The sequence below is a fragment of the Homo sapiens genome, chromosome 19 (assembly GCF_000001405.40).
Source record: "Homo sapiens chromosome 19, GRCh38.p14 Primary Assembly".
In the NCBI taxonomy this organism is placed as follows: Eukaryota; Metazoa; Chordata; class Mammalia; order Primates; family Hominidae; genus Homo; species Homo sapiens.
In genome coordinates this window covers 35,549,247-35,567,524 of record NC_000019.10, presented here as the reverse complement: position 1 = coordinate 35,567,524, position 18,278 = coordinate 35,549,247, and the positions used below count along the sequence as shown (strand labels likewise).

Here is an 18,278-nt window from a genome sequence, read left to right as displayed (position 1 = left end):
ACCTAGGAGGTGGAGGTTGCAGTAAGCCAAGATCGTGCCACTGCACTTCAGCCTAGGTGACAGAGCCAGACTCCGTCTCAAAAAAAAAAAAAAAAAAAAAGGACAAGGCCTTGGGACTGGCACAGGCATCCACTTTAAGGGGTTGGGTGTGGGAGGTCTGGAGTCTTAGGGGAAGTGCTGGGGGCTCAGGCAGTGGCTGTATTTCTTTCAATTACTTTAACTACCAGGGCAGCTGGGTGCCAGCCCTGGCTGTGGCACTGTCTTGAGTAAAAATTAAAGAGGGCATAGAATGGTTTCCTGATCACTCCCTAAGGCTCTTGAGACCCCTCCCCACCATGTCCACCCTGCTCTAGACAAGTTACAGACTCCAAAATGGGGCATGGCCTGACACGATGATGCTCTGGGGCAGGGGATGGGGGGGACACACATCCCTTCTGTGTTCCTGCCAGCACACAACCCGAACTTAATCACGAAGAACCAGCAGCAAAGCCACACTGAGCGAAGTCTACAAAATCACTGAATCATACTCTTCCAAAACGCCCAGGTCATGAAAGACAAGGAAAGATGGAGGAATTGTTACGCAATGGAGGAAGCCAAAATGTGAGGTGTGGTCCCGGACTGGATCCTGGACTAGGAAAAGGACATTAGTGGGAAAACTGGGGAAATTCAAATAAATCCTCCAAATCATGGGTGTCCAATCTTTTGGCTTCCCTGGGCCACATTGGAAGAAGAATTGTCCTGGGTCACACATAAAATACATTAACACTATCAATAGCTGATGAGCTAAAAAAAAAAAAAATCGCAAACAAATCTCATAATGTTTTAAGAAAGTCTACGAATTTGTATTGGGCAGCATTCAAAGCAGTCCTGGGCCACATATGGCCTGCAGGCCATGGGTTGGACAAGCTTGCTCTAGATTATTTACTAGTGTTTTATTAATGTTAATTTCCTGAATTTGATTATTAGACTGTGCTTATGTAAGAAAATGTCCTTATTCATAGAAGACACATGCCTAAGTATGGATAAAGGGGATCCTGTCTCCAACTTGCTTCCAAATGATTCAGCCAAAAATTTAAAAAATTCTGGCCAGGCATGGTGGCTCACACCTGTAATCCCAGCACTTTGGGAGGCCAAGGCGGGTGGATCACTTGAGACCAGGAGTTCTAGACCATCCTGGCCAACATGGTGAAACCCCGTCTCTACTAAAAATACAGAAATTAGCTGGGCATGGTGGCGGGTGCCTGTAATCCCAGCTGCTTGGGAGGCTGAGGCACAAGAATTGCTTGAATCCAGGAGACAGAGGTTGCAGTGAGCCGAGATCATGACACTGCACTACAGCCTGGGCGACAGAGAAAGACTCTGTCTCAAAAAGAAAAAAAAAAAAAATCTATCAATCATCTATCATTTATGTATCCATCTATCTGTCTAACATCTCTTATCTATCTATTTTTCTATTTTTTTTTTTTTTTTTTTTTGAGACAGAGTCTCACTCTGTCACCCAGGCTGGAGTGCAGTGGCATGATCTCGGCTCACTGCAACTTTCACCTCCCAGGTTCAAGTGATTCTCCTGCCTCGGCCTCCCTGGTAGCTGGGATTACAGGCACACACCACCACATCCAGCTAATTTTTGTATTTTTAGTAGAGACAGGGTTTCACCATGTTGACCAGGCTGGTCTCGAACTCCTGACCTCATGATCCGTCCACCTCAGCCTTCCAGAGTGCTGGGATTACAGATGTGAGTCACAGTGTCCGGCCCAGTCCTCCTTCTAATGAACACCAAACAAATAAAAAGAAAACACAGTGTCAGGTTGGAGTAGGAGGTGTAAATACAGTGGGGTAAAGGAACAGAACACAGTGTGCAGTATTACAGAATGGACTCTCTGAAGAGGTGACATTTGAGCTGAGACCTGAAAGAGGTGAGAAAGCCAGTGCAGACATCTAAGGAAGGGGGCCCAGGCAGAAGGAACTGTAAGTACCAAGGTCCTGAAGCAGGAACGACCTTGGTCTGTGCAAAGTGCAGCAGAGAGGTCAGTGCCCCTGGAAACCTAGCAGCAACAGAGGCAGGACAGGTGACCAGGGCCAGATGTTGCAGGAAGGAGTGCAGAGTTTATTCTGAGTGGGAAGGGAAGGCTTTGGAGGGTTGTAAGCAGGGGGTGACACAAGCTGTTTGACATACATGGCTCAGAGCTGATGGGAGCCCAGTGAGCGAGTAGATTCACTACAAGGACAGCATGTGGCCCCACGCCACCTCTTCTTTGGAGGTTTCTTCTAGCAGGCTGGGGATGACCAGCCGTGTGGGTGCGGGGAGGAGCTCTGGCTGCCCAACAGCTTTGAGTTTCCCAGGTGACCTGCCCCAGTAGAGAAGGACATTGCCAGGGCAGTTATCTTATCAGGCGCACGCTCACCTGCTCCTGGAGACACGCTCACCCCATAACATACCAAGGTCCCCACCATTCCACTGGCCCAGCCCCTCGCTGCTGCTGCCCATGGAGGTCCCTACCTGAGGGATGAGGAGGGAGTCCCCAGGCCTCCTGGCATCTGTCACCCAACACCAAGATCAAGCCAAGACCCTTGGACACATCCTTTCCCCATGTTGCACCTTGGTTTCCCCATCTAGGGTAGGGACGGGGAATGGTTGAGAGCTGTAAAGTCTGTAGCTGGATATGTGAGTCCCTGTGAGCCTCAGTTTCCCCCTCTGCACAACAGGAATGATAGTTCTGCCTGCACAGGGTTTTTTGCAAAGACCCGTGAGGTCACACGTGCAGAGCCTGGCATGTGTGTGGTGCTGCTGCAGTGAAGTTTGGGTTTTTCCATTGGTGGTGCCATAGAAGAGCTAGGCTCTGGGGTCAAGCCCTGGGGTCAAGCCCGGGCTGGAACCCTGTCCCTAATTCTTAGACGTTGAAATCTTCTGCAAAGTCCCTGATGGGGGCTAAGAAGAGAATATTGCTTTACAGGGCTGCTGTTAGATGCTAAGGAAACCATTTGAGTGACACACAGAGCACACCCAGCCCATAGTGAATAGTCAGAGTTCAGTAAACATTCAGCCACCATAGAGAGTGTTGTAAGCATGGCAGGGCATGGTGGCTCACGCCTGTAATCCCAGCACTTTGGGAGGCCAAGGCGGGTGGATCACCTGAGGTCAGGAGTTCGAGACCAGCCTGGCCAACCTGGTGAAACCCCGTCTCTACTAAAAGTACAAAAATTAGCTGGGTGTGGTGGCATGTGCCTGTAGTCCCAGCTACTCAAGAGGCTGAGGCAGGAGAATCACTTGAACCCGGGAGGCGGAGGTTGCAGCGAGCTGAGATTGCACCACTGCACTCCAACCTGGGTGTCAGAGTGACACTCCATCTCAAAAAAAAAAAGAAAAAAAAAAAGAGTGTGGGAGCACCCTCCTCTTCCAGTTGATCAGGCACGTGCTATTTAGACTGAAAGAGGACACTCTGCAGCCAGCTGATCTGGTTCTCACTCCATTATGTCCTAGCCTGTGATGGAGCCATAGGAGAATGACTCAACCCCTCCATGCCTCAGTTTCCCCATCTGTAAAGGGTCTTGTCCCCTCAAAGGGTTATTGGAAGGTTAAATAAGTTAGCACATGGAAGCCGTCAGCACAATGCCCAGCGCATAATGAGCACCTTATGTTTGCTCTTCTTGTTGCTGCAGCGGTTCCCAGGGGCTCCCTGATCTCAGGGCAGGTTGACATGGGGGGATCTGGGCAGGGGAGGGGGGGGCCAGCCCAGGAGGGAATGCCTGAGGTGCCCAGGCCTAGAGGTCACCCCAAGGAGCCTGTAATCAGCTGTGGTCGGGCGGTTCTGCTCCACCCCACCGCCCTCCCTGGGTATATCAGGACTGGTCCGGGCCCAGGCTCTGTTGGGTGGGAGCACAGGCACCGGGCACCATGGGGAAGGCCGTGAGTGGGGCCCAGGGGTCCGGGGTGCAGTGGGGACAGGGGTTGCAGTGGAATCTGAGTTCTCCCTCCCTCCATCCTGTCCATTCCCAGGAGAACTATGAGCTCTACTCGGTGGAGCTGGGTCCTGGCCCTGGCGGGGACATGGCTGCCAAGATGAGCAAGAAGAAGAAGGCGGGTGGCGGGGGTGGCAAGAGGAAGGAGAAGCTGGAGAACATGAAGAAGGAGATGGAGATTGTGAGCTCTGACTGGGGAGGGGCGGGAGCTGGAGGGTAGGCTGGGAACCAGGCAGTGGGCGGGGAGGGGGCCAGGAGAGCCCAGAGCAAGCACCCTGCCCCACCCCACCACACAGAACGACCACCAGCTGTCAGTGGCGGAGCTGGAACAGAAATACCAGACCAGTGCCACCAAGGTGAGCTGGAGACTGGGAGCGTACAGAAAGGGGAGGAGGAGAGAGGGAGGGAGAGGGAGATGGAAGGAGGGAGATGGAGAGAGGGAGAGAGAGGGAGAGATGAAGAGAGGAAGATATGGAGAAATAGAGAGAGGGAGGGAGGCAGAAAAGGAAAGAGGGAGGGAGGGAGAGAGGAAAGGATGGAGGGAGGGGAGGAGAGAGGGAGGGAGATGGAGAGAGGGAGAGAGAGGGAGAGGGAGAGAAGGGAGAAAGCATTAGAGAGAAAGGGTGACACACAGAGACGGAGAGAGGAGTAGCTGAAAAGAGACAGCAAGACAGAGAAGGCAGAGACAAATAAGGAGAGAGCAGCAGGAGAGAGACACATAGAAAGGGGAGCGAGGAGAGAGAGACAAAGGGAGAGATGAAGGAGGGAGGGAGAGATGGGGTGGGGGCAGGAACCAAGAGACAAAGAGATGAGAAGGAGCAGGACAGACCAAGCTGGAGAAGGGAAACTGAAGCAGGGGGCTTTCCACGGGGTGTGCATGTGGAGGAAAGCCCCCAGGACCGCCTCGCCCTGCCCCTCTGTCCCAGGGCCTCTCTGCGAGCCTGGCTGCTGAGCTGCTGCTGCGGGATGGGCCCAACGCACTGCGGCCACCACGGGGCACCCCAGAGTACGTCAAGTTCGCGAGGCAGCTGGCCGGGGGCCTGCAGTGCCTCATGTGGGTTGCCGCCGCCATCTGCCTCATCGCCTTTGCCATCCAGGCTAGTGAGGGGGACCTCACCACCGACGACAATGTGAGCCATGTTGTGGGGACAGGCTCAGGACATGGGGACCTGGGGATGGAAGACACTGAGCCTGGGACTTGGGACAAGAGGGGCAGAGAAGGATGGGGATAGACGAACACGAAAGGCAGTCTCAAGACAGGGGTCATGGAGGGTGAAGGACATTGGGATATGGATGGGGCAGACCCAAGGACACAGGACACAGGGACACTGGGGTGAATCTTGGGTATGGGGACATAGGTGGGGGCATAAAGAGTATGGCAATGTGATACGTAAGAGATGGGATTTGGAGGCCGGGCGTGTAATCCCATGCCTGTAATCCCAGCACTTTGGGAGGCCGAGGCGGGCAGATCACCTGAGGTCAGGAGTTCGAGACCAGCCTGGCCAACATGGCAAAACCCCATCTCTACTAAAATTACAAAAATTAGCCAGACATGGTGGCGGGCACCTGTAATCCCAGTTACTTGGGAGGCTGAGGCAGGAGAATCATTTGAACCCAGGAGGTGGATGTTGCAGTGAGCCAAGACCATGCCACTGCACTCCAGCCTGGGCGACAGAGCGAGACTGCATCTTAAAAAAAAAAAAAAAAAAAAAAAAAAGAGATGGGACTTGGAAGCAGAGGACATGCAGTGCAGACACAGGACAGACTGAGGCACGGGGAATAGGAGACCCTGGGACTCAGACATAGGACACCAGGGCAGGGACCCAAGCCTCAGGACACAGCACATAGAGAGACACAAAACATGAGACATAGAAGCACAGAGACAGAGAGGAAATGGAGGTGCAGGGCAAGGGACATTGGACATATGGCAGAGATGAGGGCAAGGGACATGGGGACTCAGGGACATGTGACATGGGACAGAGGCTCGAAAAGTCATGGCCATGGGACACAGGATGGGAACTCGGAGATACACAGACATGGGAGACACGGGACACAGTGACTGGGGAGCTAGAACATGGGGGCCGTGGCCACAGAGGACACAGACCATGACGTACAAGGTCTGCAGCACACGCAGGGACGGGGATGTGAGGATGCAGGGACAAGGGGGCCCAGGGGACACACAGAGGGTGGCAGCAGATTATGGAAAACCCAGGATGTGAAACTGGAGACACGGGGAATACAGGCCATGGGGACAGGAGGAGACATGGGACAGTGGACATGGGGAATGCAAGGCTTGGGGACACAGGAGAAGGGAACACGTCAGACCAAGGCACACAGTGATTTGGGGCACAAGTCACAGATATGGGGACATGGAAGATTGAGGATTCAGGGCCAGAGGATATGAAATATACACAGAAACACAAGACACTGAGAAGACAGAGCAGGCGAGTGTGGGACATGAGGGACATGGGAGGGGGCTAAAGGCTACAGGGAATGGTGCATGGAGCTTCCTAGTAGGTGGGGAAAAGCATGGGGAAAACCAAGAAAACCAGGGCACCAGGGAGCAGGTCGGTGGCCTCAGGCAGGCAGCTTCCGGCCCCTCTGAATAACCCCACCCCTTCCCTGTCCCCAGCTGTACCTGGCAATCGCTCTCATTGCTGTGGTTGTCGTCACCGGCTGCTTTGGCTACTACCAGGAATTCAAGAGCACCAACATCATCGCCAGCTTTAAGAACCTTGTGCCACAGGTGGGTTCCCCAGCACCCAGCCACTCCAGATCCCAGAGACTCCAAACTGCTCCTGTAGCCTCCTTCCATCAGGCCCCTGTCCCTCATCTGTGGCCTCCATCTCTCCCCATGGGTCCCAGCTCTCCTCATCCTTTACCTCCCCACATGCAGCAGCTCCCACCCCCACCCCCGTCCACCTCAACTTTGGTGCCCCTGCCCCGCAGCAAGCCACTGTCATCCGCGATGGAGACAAATTCCAGATCAACGCTGACCAACTGGTGGTGGGCGACCTGGTGGAGATGAAAGGTGGGGACAGAGTGCCCGCCGACATCCGCATCCTGGCGGCCCAGGGCTGCAAGGTGGACAACTCCTCGCTGACAGGGGAGTCTGAGCCACAGACCCGCTCACCCGAGTGCACGCACGAGAGCCCTCTGGAGACCCGCAACATCGCCTTCTTCTCCACCATGTGCCTTGAGGGTCTGTGAAGCCCCCGCCTGCCTGCCCAGTAACTGCTGCCTCCACTGGCCTCTCTCCTGCTATCTTCTAGGACAGGGGGCTTCAGCCTCCCTGTCTCTCTCCTGCATGACTGCCACCTCCCCGTGACTGCCACCTCCCCAGGGCACACTGCTTCTCTGTCTCCCACTGTCACTACCCTCTCCCAGGTCACATCCTCCACTGGCAGTGACTGGCTGTCCTTCAGCTCACACGGCAGTGCACACCCCACTGCCGCCCCCTATCCCTGAGTCGCGCCTTGGCCCCCCTGCAGGCACCGTGCAGGGCCTGGTGGTGAACACGGGCGACCGCACCATCATTGGGCGCATCGCATCGCTGGCGTCGGGGGTGGAAAACGAGAAGACACCCATCGCTATCGAGATCGAGCATTTTGTGGACATCATCGCGGGCCTGGCCATTCTCTTCGGTGCCACATTTTTTATTGTGGCCATGTGCATTGGCTACACCTTCCTGCGGGCCATGGTCTTCTTCATGGCCATCGTGGTGGCCTATGTGCCTGAGGGGCTGCTGGCCACTGTCACAGTGAGTGGGGGCAGGCGGGGATGCAGGGAGCTGAGGGGCCTGCTCAACCATCTGTTCTTTCCTCCACATTTCCCCCATCACCTCCCTGCCTGTCTATCTGTCCACTTAGCTCCCATCCATTCTCCTGCCTTCCCATCATCCACTCATTCAGCAAGTCCTTCCCGAGGCAACCCTGGGGCAAGTCCTGTGCCACACATTGAGGGCGCAGAGATGACGAGGCCGGGTCCTTAACTGGAAGAGGCTGATGTCCTGTGCAGGCAGCCAGCATGTCACCAGACCTTCCACAGTCAGCACCCAGCTCCAGACCAGTCCCCAGGGAGGTGCGGGGAAGGTTCCTCTTCTCATTTTGATTGTGTGAAGAGAATTTTCAGAACCTCGGCTGGGACAGCTCAGAGAGGGGCCTCGCTACTGTATCTGGGCAGACTGGGGAAGGAGTCCCAAACAAAGCACTGGCTGAACAAAAGCTGGGGCCAAGAAAACACCTGGTGTTTGCAGAAGCACGTTGCACACGCAGCCCCGCGGCTGGGGTAAAGCCTTCCCCGTTCTTTGACGCGGGGAAGAGGACTGGAAGCCAGGGTGGGTCCCCAGCCTGCGGTGCTCACCCCTTCCCCAGGTCTGCCTGTCCCTGACAGCCAAGCGCCTGGCCAGTAAGAACTGCGTGGTCAAGAACCTGGAGGCGGTGGAGACATTGGGCTCCACTTCGGTGATCTGCTCGGACAAGACAGGGACTCTCACTCAGAACCGCATGACTGTGTCCCATCTGTGGTTTGACAACCACATCCACACAGCTGACACCACGGAAGACCAGTCAGGTGTGGGGGAGGGAGGGCACAGGCGCCAGGGCAGGATCTGGTGGATGGTGGAGACCTGAAGAGGGATAGGGAGGTAGGGAGGGCTTTGTACGAAGGCGGGGCGGCTCGGCTCCAGGTCTCAAAGGAGACTCGCTACCGGGTCTAGAGGGAAGGGTCATCCGGGGGCTGGGTCCCTCAGGGTTGGGTGGAACCCAATTCCACCCAGGTCTGGGGAGGGGGCCCGCGATATGAGCCTAGGAGGAGGGGGCTCGGTTCTGGTCCGGGAGAGCCGCCGTGCGGGACCCAGCCTGGACGCCTGGTCTGCAGGGCAGACGTTTGACCAGTCCTCGGAGACGTGGCGGGCGCTGTGCCGGGTGCTCACCCTGTGCAACCGCGCCGCCTTCAAGTCCGGCCAGGATGCAGTGCCTGTGCCCAAGGTGAGAGCCAGGGGGCCTCCAGGGAATCCCGGGAGGCTGGTGTAGCCGGCTTCGCCCCTGACACCGGTCCCCGCTCCCAGCGCATCGTGATTGGAGACGCATCGGAGACGGCGCTGCTCAAGTTCTCGGAGCTGACGCTGGGCAACGCCATGGGCTACCGGGACCGCTTCCCAAAAGTCTGCGAGATACCCTTCAACTCCACCAACAAGTTCCAGGTGCGCAGCCGGCCCCGCCCACGGCCTGGGCCCGCCCACCTCGGGCCCCGCCCCAGGCCACACCCACATCAGCGGGCCACGAGGGGCTTCGCTCCTTGCCCCTTCTCTCCGCAGCCAAACCCCACCCCATCTCCCGCTCCGCCTATGGCCCCGTCCACCAGAGGCAAGGCCCCGCCCACCACCCAGCCCCGCCCACAGCTTCTCCTCGGCGGGACTGTCCATGGGGAGCACCTCGCTCTCCAAATCCGCCCCCAGCCCAACTCCGCACCCTAATTCTGTTCATTCCCTGCGTCCAGGACTCCAAATCTGCACCTAGCCCCGCCTTAACGCTTACCTTCTACCAAGGACCCCTCCACACAAGGCCTCCATCTTCCACCTTCACCCTTCCCCGCAGCTCTCAGAGCCCGCACCGAGCTCTCGGCCCCGCCCCTCTCCTCAGCCCCGCCCCGTTCCCTCGTCCACAGCCCCGCCCCGTTCCCCCGTCCACAGCCTCGCCTCTCCCCCCCGCCCACAGCTGTCCATCCATACGCTGGAGGACCCGCGGGACCCGCGACACTTGCTGGTGATGAAGGGCGCCCCCGAGCGCGTGCTGGAGCGCTGCAGCTCCATCCTTATCAAGGGCCAGGAGCTGCCGCTGGACGAGCAGTGGCGCGAGGCCTTCCAGACCGCCTACCTCAGCCTGGGAGGCCTGGGCGAACGCGTGCTCGGTGAGACCCCTGGGCAGGGGAGGAGACTCCAGGTGCGAGGAGGAGCTAGCACAGACCCTGCCCACCACTCCCGGCCCAGCCCTGACCGTCCTCATCCCTGGCTGCTGGCTGATTTGTCGCAGTCCACAGCCTCACCCTTGACTTTCCCTGTACCAGTCCTGACCCCTGTCTGTCCTCACTTTCTACCTTGACCCCAGTCCTCACCTGGACTTTTATCCGTATCCTGACCTCTAACCTCTCCCAATTTTTGTCCTGACGCCTTAAACTTCGCTGCCTCTACCCTAGAAAGCAGATCTGTGGTCCAATTCTGGGCCTTTTACTTGCTGTGTGACCTCTGGCAAGAAATGTCCCCTCTCTGAGCCTCAGTTTCCTCATCTGTAAGATGAGAATGGGCCTCACAGGGTGGTTGTGAGGGTAGATTCAGATAATGTGAGTGAAGGGGTCAGCACAAGGTCAGGCATCCATAGGTGTTTGGTGCAAGGGGCCTGGTTATTTTACCCATTTCCTGGCCCTGCTAAGAAAGGGTGTGCCCAGGGCTCTTCCCTGACTTCCCCGTTTCCGGTCAGGCTTCTGCCAGCTCTACCTGAATGAGAAGGACTACCCGCCTGGCTATGCCTTCGACGTAGAGGCCATGAACTTTCCATCTAGCGGCCTCTGCTTTGCGGGACTTGTATCCATGATTGACCCACCCCGGGCCACCGTCCCTGATGCTGTGCTCAAGTGTCGCACCGCAGGCATCCGGGTATGCCACTGTGGGGAGGAACAAGTGGAGTGAGGACAGAGGATGGCAGCAGGATTTGGGTTGAAGAACCCCATGACAAACCCACCTGAAACTGGCTTGAACCAAAATGCATTGGTTTATGATACTGAAAAATTCTGGGGAATTAAGCTTCAGGTCTAGCCAGATCCAGGAGCTCAGTGTCATTAGGAATTTTCCTTTCTCCATGTCTCAGCTCTGCTGTTCTCTTTGCTGGCTTTATTTGCAGGCACTCCCTTCACTTGGGGACACACACACCCCTGCTCCAGCAGCTCAAACTTAACTCCCACCTGCTTAGCCACCCCACAAAAAGAGAGTGCCTCTTTTGCAGTAGCACTGGATTGGGTCACTCATTTATCCCTGAGCCAGTCACTGGGGCTGGGGGATGGAAGACCTTGATTGGCCAGGTCTGGGCTTACTTACCCAATCTTAGCCAGGGACCTCACTGCAACTGATGGTGTAGGGGAGAGGAGTGGTTCCCCAAACACAAAACAAGGGTGGGAAAGCCAAGGCCAGGCAGGCAATGCCCAAGCCCTTCCCGTGTCTCTACGGCCCTGTTACATCGGGCCTTGTTACCTTTCTAAGCTTGTTCGTTAGCCCTCTTTCCTTGTTCACTCCTCTGCAGTTATGGTGTCCTCCCTGCTGTTCCTCCGACAGTTCGGGCCTGTCCTCACCTCAGGGCCTTTGCACCTGCTGTTCTCCCTGCCAGGAGCACTCTTCTCCCAGCTTTCCACGTGGCTGACTCTCTCACCTCTTACAGGTCTCTGCTCAGATATCACCTTCTCAATAAGCCCTTCCCTGGGTACACTTAAAATCGAGTCACCGTTTCCTTCACCAAGCTTAATATGTTTTTTTCCACTTTCTAACACACTATATAATTCGTTTCTTTATTTTCTGTCACCCTCACTAGAGCTCCTCAAGGACAGGGATTTTTGTCTCTTTTGTCTCTGCTATATCCCAGGCACGTAGGAGGTGGTCACGCTTGGTCAAGTAAATGAACACGTGTATCAGCAGATGTCTCCCAGGGAGGACAGGGAGATTGGGCTGATCTGAAGGGGTCAGTGATCCACTGGTTCCCCCTACAGGTGATCATGGTAACGGGTGACCACCCCATCACCGCCAAGGCCATTGCAGCCAGTGTGGGCATCATCTCGGAAGGCAGCGAGACAGTGGAGGACATCGCTGCCCGCCTCCGTGTGCCCGTAGACCAGGTTAATCGCAAGTAAGCCCCCCCAGACCTCCCCGGGGTTCTCCCCACATCTGGCACAGACCGAGGTCCCAGCGAGGTCCTCCCATCTCCTCCCCAGGGATGCCCGTGCCTGTGTGATCAATGGCATGCAGCTGAAGGACATGGACCCATCGGAACTGGTCGAGGCCCTGCGCACCCACCCCGAGATGGTGTTTGCGCGCACCAGCCCCCAGCAGAAGCTGGTGATCGTGGAGAGCTGCCAGCGGCTGGTGAGCCCTGCTGATGAGGGTGGGCAGGCGGGCAGACAGGCGGGGCTGGTCTTGGACCGGCCTCTCACTGACCACCCACCCACCACCTGCACCCACTGCCTGCAGGGTGCGATTGTGGCCGTCACGGGGGATGGTGTGAATGACTCCCCAGCTCTGAAGAAGGCAGACATCGGAGTAGCCATGGGCATCGCTGGCTCAGATGCTGCCAAAAATGCAGCTGACATGATCCTGCTGGATGACAACTTTGCCTCCATTGTGACAGGCGTGGAGCAGGGTCCGAGCCACGCCAGGGGGAGGGCAGGCAGTGTGGGCACAGGAGGGAGAGGGCTGTGAGGAGGCTGAGGTGCCCACCCTACCCCACAGGTCGACTGATCTTCGACAACCTGAAGAAGTCTATTGCCTACACATTGACCAAGAACATCCCAGAGCTGACACCCTACCTCATCTACATCACCGTCAGCGTGCCCCTGCCCCTCGGGTGCATCACCATCCTCTTCATCGAACTCTGCACTGACATTGTAAGTCCACAGCCCAGGGTACCCATCCACAGGGTGCCCAGAGACACTTGCTTGCAGATGGACAGGAGGGACAGAGACCACCACAGACACTCTTGGGCACAGAGTGACAGACAAGACCTGTGTGTGCAATGACAGCCAGTGCAGGACACATGGGTGGCAGGCAGGTGAACAGACCTAAATGGACATACAGCCATGCACACACAGGCGGACACTCAGGTAGGCCCGGGCCGACCCATGCACACACATGACTCAGATACAGATACTCAGACAGAGATGGAAACAGAACAGGTATCTGGCCAAACTTGAATCACAGACACGTGCCCCTAAACAGACACGGACAAATAAACCCCCTCAGATAGACCCCATGGCAGACAGACAGAAAAGAACCACAGATACAGTCACGAATGCAGCCAGAGGCGCAGCTGTGTTGACAGGTATTTATTCGGTAACATTTACACAGTGCTTTCTCTGGGCCAGACACACCATCATTTCCTTAATTTTGTACTCATAACCACACTATGAGATGAGTTTTGTTACTATCACCCGTACTTTACTGATGAGCTCATCAAGGCATAGACAGGTAGAGTGGATTGTCCCAGGTCACTGGGCAAATAAGTGGCCCGGCTGTGACTTGAGCTTGAGCAGTCACAGGTCCCACAGCCTGTGGTCGTGGTCAGTATGCTCTGCTGCCACTCTAGGCACAAGCAGATGAAGGGGCACGGCGACACTGAGAGACTGAAGATACACAGAGATAGGGAGTGACACAGAAATACACAAGAGCAGATACAGTCACAGAGAATTACACTGGAGACAGGGACAGAGAAACAGAGTGAGGAACAGAGAAAGAGAGGGAGGGAGACAGAGGGAGAAGATAAAAGCAGATGTTCTTACGAAGATGGGCACCAGGATGCCAACACCCAGGGGCCAGTGGGGCCCAGGCTGTCCAGGCTGGTGTGGCTGTGCCGTCCCTGCAGGTCCTGCCTGCTAACCTCAGTCCTGTTCCTGCTCACAAGTGGGGGAAGGGGGACCCGAAGTGGAGGGGACAAGGGCCCAGCCAAACCCTCAGTCCCAGTTCCTTCCACTCCTGGCCAGTTCCCATCTGTGTCCCTGGCATATGAAAAGGCCGAGAGTGACATCATGCACCTGCGTCCACGCAACCCAAAGCGTGACAGATTGGTCAACGAGCCCCTGGCTGCCTACTCCTACTTCCAGATTGGTGGGTGCCCGTGGGCCGGGGAGCCTGGAGGTGGGGGGCTCTGCGCTGGGCTGCTCGCCTGCCCCAGGCCCTGCCTTGGGCTCCGGCTGGTTCTGGACCTCAGTGTCTGCATTTGGTCCTGGGTCTCCGTTGTCCTCCGTGTCCCTCTCTGTTTGTGACAGTCTCTCTGGTTCTGCTGTGTCCCTGCTCTCTCTCTGACCTTGCTCTCCATGACCCTGTCTCTGAGTTGTTGCCTATTTCTGTCTTTTTGGGTCCTGGATGTGTCTTTTTCTCTCTGTCCCTGCCTCTGTCTCTCTGTCCCTGCTTCTCTCTCTGCCTCTGTGTCTCTGTCACTGTTTCTGTGTCCCTGGCTCTGTGTGTCCTTGACCTTGTGTATCTGTGTCCCTGTCTCTCTTCCCGTGTCCCTGTCTGTGTGTCCTTGACCTTTGTGTATCTGTGTCCCTGTCTCTCCATGTCCCTCTCTTCCTGTGTCCCTGTCTCTGTGTCCATCTCTGTCTCCCTGTGTCCCCTTGTCTCTCTCCAGGTGCCATTCAGTCCTTTGCTGGCTTCACTGACTACTTCACGGCAATGGCCCAGGAGGGCTGGTTCCCACTGCTGTGCGTGGGGCTGCGGGCGCAGTGGGAGGACCACCACCTACAAGATCTGCAGGACAGCTACGGCCAGGAGTGGGTGAGCCCTGCCCCGCCCCATCCCATCCCTGGGCTCCCTCCTTCCCAGGGCAACTTGCCTTGTGTGCGGCCCACTTGTTCCTCCACGTGTGACTGAGTTCAGCCAGAGCATCCCGGACCCCCAGACTCCCTGCCAGTTCGGGGGGGCAAGGGCCTTTCCCACCATCTCCAGCTCCAAACTCCTGCTTCTGATGATCGCAACTGCAGATGGGTGTCTCTGCCCTGACACTAATGCATCATCTCAGATGTGGAACCAGGCCCCTATTCTGCTATTTTCCCTACAGCATCACTCCCACAGGGTATTTGCACATGTGGTCTATTTTAATGAAGGTTTGGAGCACAGTGAGGCTAGATCTGGCCAGCAGATGTGTTTAGTTCACCTGTAGAGTTACATACAGACGAGGATACTTCCCTTAAACATTTACTATCATGGTTAAGGTAGACACTGAAGCCAGACTGCCTGGACTTATGGTCTGGTACTGCTTCTCACAAGCTGTGTAACCCTGGGCAGGTTGCTTTGCCTCTCTGTGCCTGTTTTCTCACCTGCAAAGTGGAGAGAATATCAAAGTCTACCTCAGTGGTTTTCAGTTTGCTCCCAGACCAGCAGCATCACCATCTCCTGGGAACATGTTTGCAGTGCAAATTCTCAGGCTCTATCCCAGCCCTCTGGGAGCCCTTGCTGGGATTCTCATGCATGTTCAAGTTCCAGCACCACTGATTTACCTCCTAGGGTTACCCAGCGGATTAAATGAGCTAATGCACGTGCAACACTCGGCACCTGGAGCAGTCAGTGATCCCCACAGTTAGCTGGTATTAGGAGTTGTGTTGCCAGGCATGGTGGCACATGCTTGTAATTCCAGCTACTTGGGAGGCTAAGGCAGGAGAATCTCCTGAACCTGGGATTCGGAAGTTGCAGTGAGCTGAGATTGCACCACTGCACTCCAGCCTGGGTGACAGAGCGAGATTCCATCTCAAAAAAAAAAGTAGCTGTGTTGAAGAAATGGGCTGCATAGTGGCTGCCCCCTTTAAATGGGGCATCTGCCCTCTTTTCCCAAAGGCCCGCGGTGACTGCCTCACCTATTTTTGCCATCTGCCTGGCCCCTGGAGTCACTGGACTTTGCAAATCCCATCTGAGGATTTCAATTCCCCTTTCCCAGGCCCTTTCTTTTGGGTGCCTCCCCCCTTTCACTATGAAAGCAGTCGGCCCAGCCTACAGTTTTCCCGGCCACTGTCATCCAAGCTCTGCTAGGCTGAGGTTTCTGGGCCCCACGTTCTGGGGTCCTGCACACCTGGCAGACCCTGCCTCTCTCCTTCCCCCCACCCCCACACTCTGATGCAAGGCAGAGAGAGCATTTAGGGGTTCACGGCCCTGGGACCCTATGCCCGGTGGGCTGCAGAGGCTCTCCGCCGGGACTCAGGCTGGACTCAGGCTGTTTCCGTTTGCCCCTGGCCTGCAGACATTCGGGCAGCGCCTGTACCAGCAGTACACCTGCTACACCGTGTTCTTCATCAGCATTGAGGTGTGCCAGATCGCCGATGTCCTCATCCGCAAGACGCGCCGTCTCTCTGCCTTCCAGCAAGGCTTCTTCAGGTGTCCCTGGCTGGCCCTCTTCCTGCCCTCCAACCCCTGGTCCCAACTCCCATCAGATCCTGACTGTGGTTTAGAACAGCCGGCAAATGCCAGCGGGTGCCAGTGCCAGATGGTGACATGCCAAAAAAACCTTTCTAACTGGCCAATAACTCCCCCCACGGCCCCCTCCACATTTCACTAAAGGGGTGGTGCTGAGAGGCCCGGGCCACTCCAGTGTTCAGTGTGTAGAACACCTCCCTGCTGCTGCTGACATCTGACCTACTTTGACCCACAGTATCCTGATTTCCATCACGTCCCCAATTCCTAATGGCCTGTCCCATTCTGCCCACCCCCAGGAATAAGATCCTGGTGATCGCCATCGTGTTCCAGGTCTGCATCGGCTGCTTCCTGTGCTACTGCCCCGGCATGCCCAACATCTTCAACTTCATGCCCATTCGGTGAGAGGCTGTGAGGGGCAAGGACAGGGAGGGGGCTGTAGGGCACAGGCCTGGGATGGCCTTCACCTTGCCATGTGCCTTCAGGTTCCAGTGGTGGCTGGTCCCCCTGCCCTACGGCATCCTCATCTTCGTCTATGATGAGATCCGGAAGCTTGGAGTTCGCTGTTGCCCAGGGAGTGAGTGTGGAGACTGGGAGCCTGGGGGCAGGGGACTGAAACGTTTGAGCAGCTGCACCCACCTTTGATCCTCAACACTTGGCCTCTAAGCCCTTGACCCTCCATAGCAACCAGCACTGACCTCTGAGCCCCTGGCCCTGCCTAAGTGGCACCCCCAGCACTGAGTCTCCTTTCTCCCTCTCTCTCCCAGGCTGGTGGGACCAGGAACTCTACTATTAGAGGGACGACTGCCTTCAAGCATCCCTGCAACTGCCACAGCAGGTGGGGGCAGGGCTCGTGGGACCCTCTGGACAGCCACCAAGATATCTGAGCAACCAAGAGTCCCAGCCCCACCAGTATCTGCTTCTGTAGCCCACGGCACCCCAAACTTGGAGGGACCTGCCCACTCCCCTCCCCCATTCCCAAGGTTCGCACCTCCTGGAGCAGCAGCGCCTGGGCAGTCCTCTGGGCTGGCCTCGGGAAAGCCGCCACCTGTGGTGGCGGTGGGGCTCTGACAGGGAGTACAGCTGACCGCTTCTGGAGGGTGTTTCTGTTCTTAGGACTCCAGTCCAGGCTGGACGGCTGCCTGAGGGCCCTTCGTTAAAGACACGCTTGTGTCCTGGGCGATGGTAATAAAACCAGCTCATGCTGACTGTGCTGTATCTGGTGCCAGGCACTGTCCTCAGCGTCTCTCATTAGTGCTTGTGATCTCCCACAGTCCTGTACATGGGGGCTGTTTATCCAGGGCTGCACCTCCAGTGCCTAGTACACAGCCTGGCACATAGTAGGTCCTCAATAAACCTGCCTTGGGGAAATGATTCCTATTCCTTTGCCCAGGGTCATGGCATCTAAACGCAAGCTGGGCCGTGGCGATAGGCACCCCCTACCACCTCTGGGCTTTCTCTGTTCTCAGCACCCTTCTCCCTCCTGGAGGCTCCCAGACACAAGGGGGCCCAAGTCATTTCCACATCAAGCATCCCCCACCCCCCAGCGGTGTCTCCTTTCTGAGCCTACCTGCTTACTCCTCTGTCCCGGCAATGGCCAGTTCCTGAACAACTCCTGGAGGTCCCCTCCTCACACCCCTCACCTGAAAGGTTAACCCCATCCCCCTACCTCCCATCTCTGCCGCTCCTTTCCCAGCCCCTCTGTTCACCTCTCTTCCTCTTTCTTATGTGGCTTTCTCTGGCTAGGGCCTGGGCTTCTCCTTCCTTGTGACCACAGCCCCCCAGTCCCCCATGGCTTCAGTTGTTTCTGCAGTGAGACCCACCTCTGTCCCCAGCTTCCCCCAGTGTTGGTGACCTACACTGGCCTCTTCATCACCCCCCATGCCTGTACCCATGCACTGACCCAATCTGATAGTCCCACTGTCCCATCAGTGTGGTCCCTTCTCCCTTGGAAACGTGGTGAGCCCTCGGGCTTACAAGCCCCAAACTCCAGTTATCCTGGAACTCTTTGCTCCTCCCTTACCTGTTAGCGCCCCCTGCCGGTAAATAAATACACACAGCCACTGATCACCAACACCTGGGCTTGGCTTCTAGTCACTCTCCTAACCCCACAAAGCCCTGCCCTGGTCCAGCCCTGGCCTCGTGGCCTCAGCTTTCCCATTTC

General features: G+C 56.5%; 1 protein-coding gene across 1 annotated transcript, besides 5 other annotated features; it reads left to right on the top strand.

The window, feature by feature from the left end:
- Positions 2,211–2,712: an enhancer, noted in NCBI's record as "H3K27ac hESC enhancer chr19:36055715-36056216 (GRCh37/hg19 assembly coordinates)". NCBI's record gives its function as "activates a minimal SCP1, AML or CMV promoter by ChIP-STARR-seq in primed H9 embryonic stem cells {active_cell/tissue: H9 hESC(primed)}" and the evidence as "EXISTENCE:reporter gene assay evidence [ECO:0000049][PMID:30033119]".
- Positions 3,867–17,494, top strand: ATP4A (ATPase H+/K+ transporting subunit alpha). The gene is made up of 22 exons (NM_000704.3): positions 3,867–3,907; positions 3,998–4,141; positions 4,257–4,316; positions 4,887–5,090; positions 6,593–6,706; positions 6,910–7,162; positions 7,452–7,720; positions 8,334–8,532; positions 8,839–8,948; positions 9,029–9,163; positions 9,678–9,870; positions 10,437–10,612; positions 11,713–11,849; positions 11,935–12,085; positions 12,191–12,359; positions 12,449–12,603; positions 13,696–13,819; positions 14,343–14,488; positions 15,945–16,078; positions 16,414–16,515; positions 16,600–16,691; positions 16,882–17,494. Exons 1-22 carry the CDS (start codon positions 3,896–3,898, stop codon positions 16,908–16,910), a joined length of 3,108 nt encoding a protein of 1,035 aa, NP_000695.2. The 5' UTR covers positions 3,867–3,895; the 3' UTR covers positions 16,911–17,494.
- Positions 8,261–8,360: an enhancer, noted in NCBI's record as "active region_14485". NCBI's record gives its function as "activates an Ori minimal core promoter by ATAC-STARR-seq in GM12878 lymphoblastoid cells {active_cell/tissue: GM12878}" and the evidence as "EXISTENCE:reporter gene assay evidence [ECO:0000049][PMID:35858748]".
- Positions 8,815–9,430: an enhancer, noted in NCBI's record as "H3K27ac-H3K4me1 hESC enhancer chr19:36048997-36049612 (GRCh37/hg19 assembly coordinates)". NCBI's record gives its function as "activates a minimal SCP1, AML or CMV promoter by ChIP-STARR-seq in naive H9 embryonic stem cells {active_cell/tissue: H9 hESC(naive)}" and the evidence as "EXISTENCE:reporter gene assay evidence [ECO:0000049][PMID:30033119]".
- Positions 9,140–9,239: a silencer, noted in NCBI's record as "silent region_10529". NCBI's record gives its function as "represses an Ori minimal core promoter by ATAC-STARR-seq in GM12878 lymphoblastoid cells {active_cell/tissue: GM12878}" and the evidence as "EXISTENCE:reporter gene assay evidence [ECO:0000049][PMID:35858748]".
- Positions 9,500–9,589: an enhancer, noted in NCBI's record as "active region_14484". NCBI's record gives its function as "activates an Ori minimal core promoter by ATAC-STARR-seq in GM12878 lymphoblastoid cells {active_cell/tissue: GM12878}" and the evidence as "EXISTENCE:reporter gene assay evidence [ECO:0000049][PMID:35858748]".
- Positions 17,495–18,278: the final 784 nt, after the last annotated feature.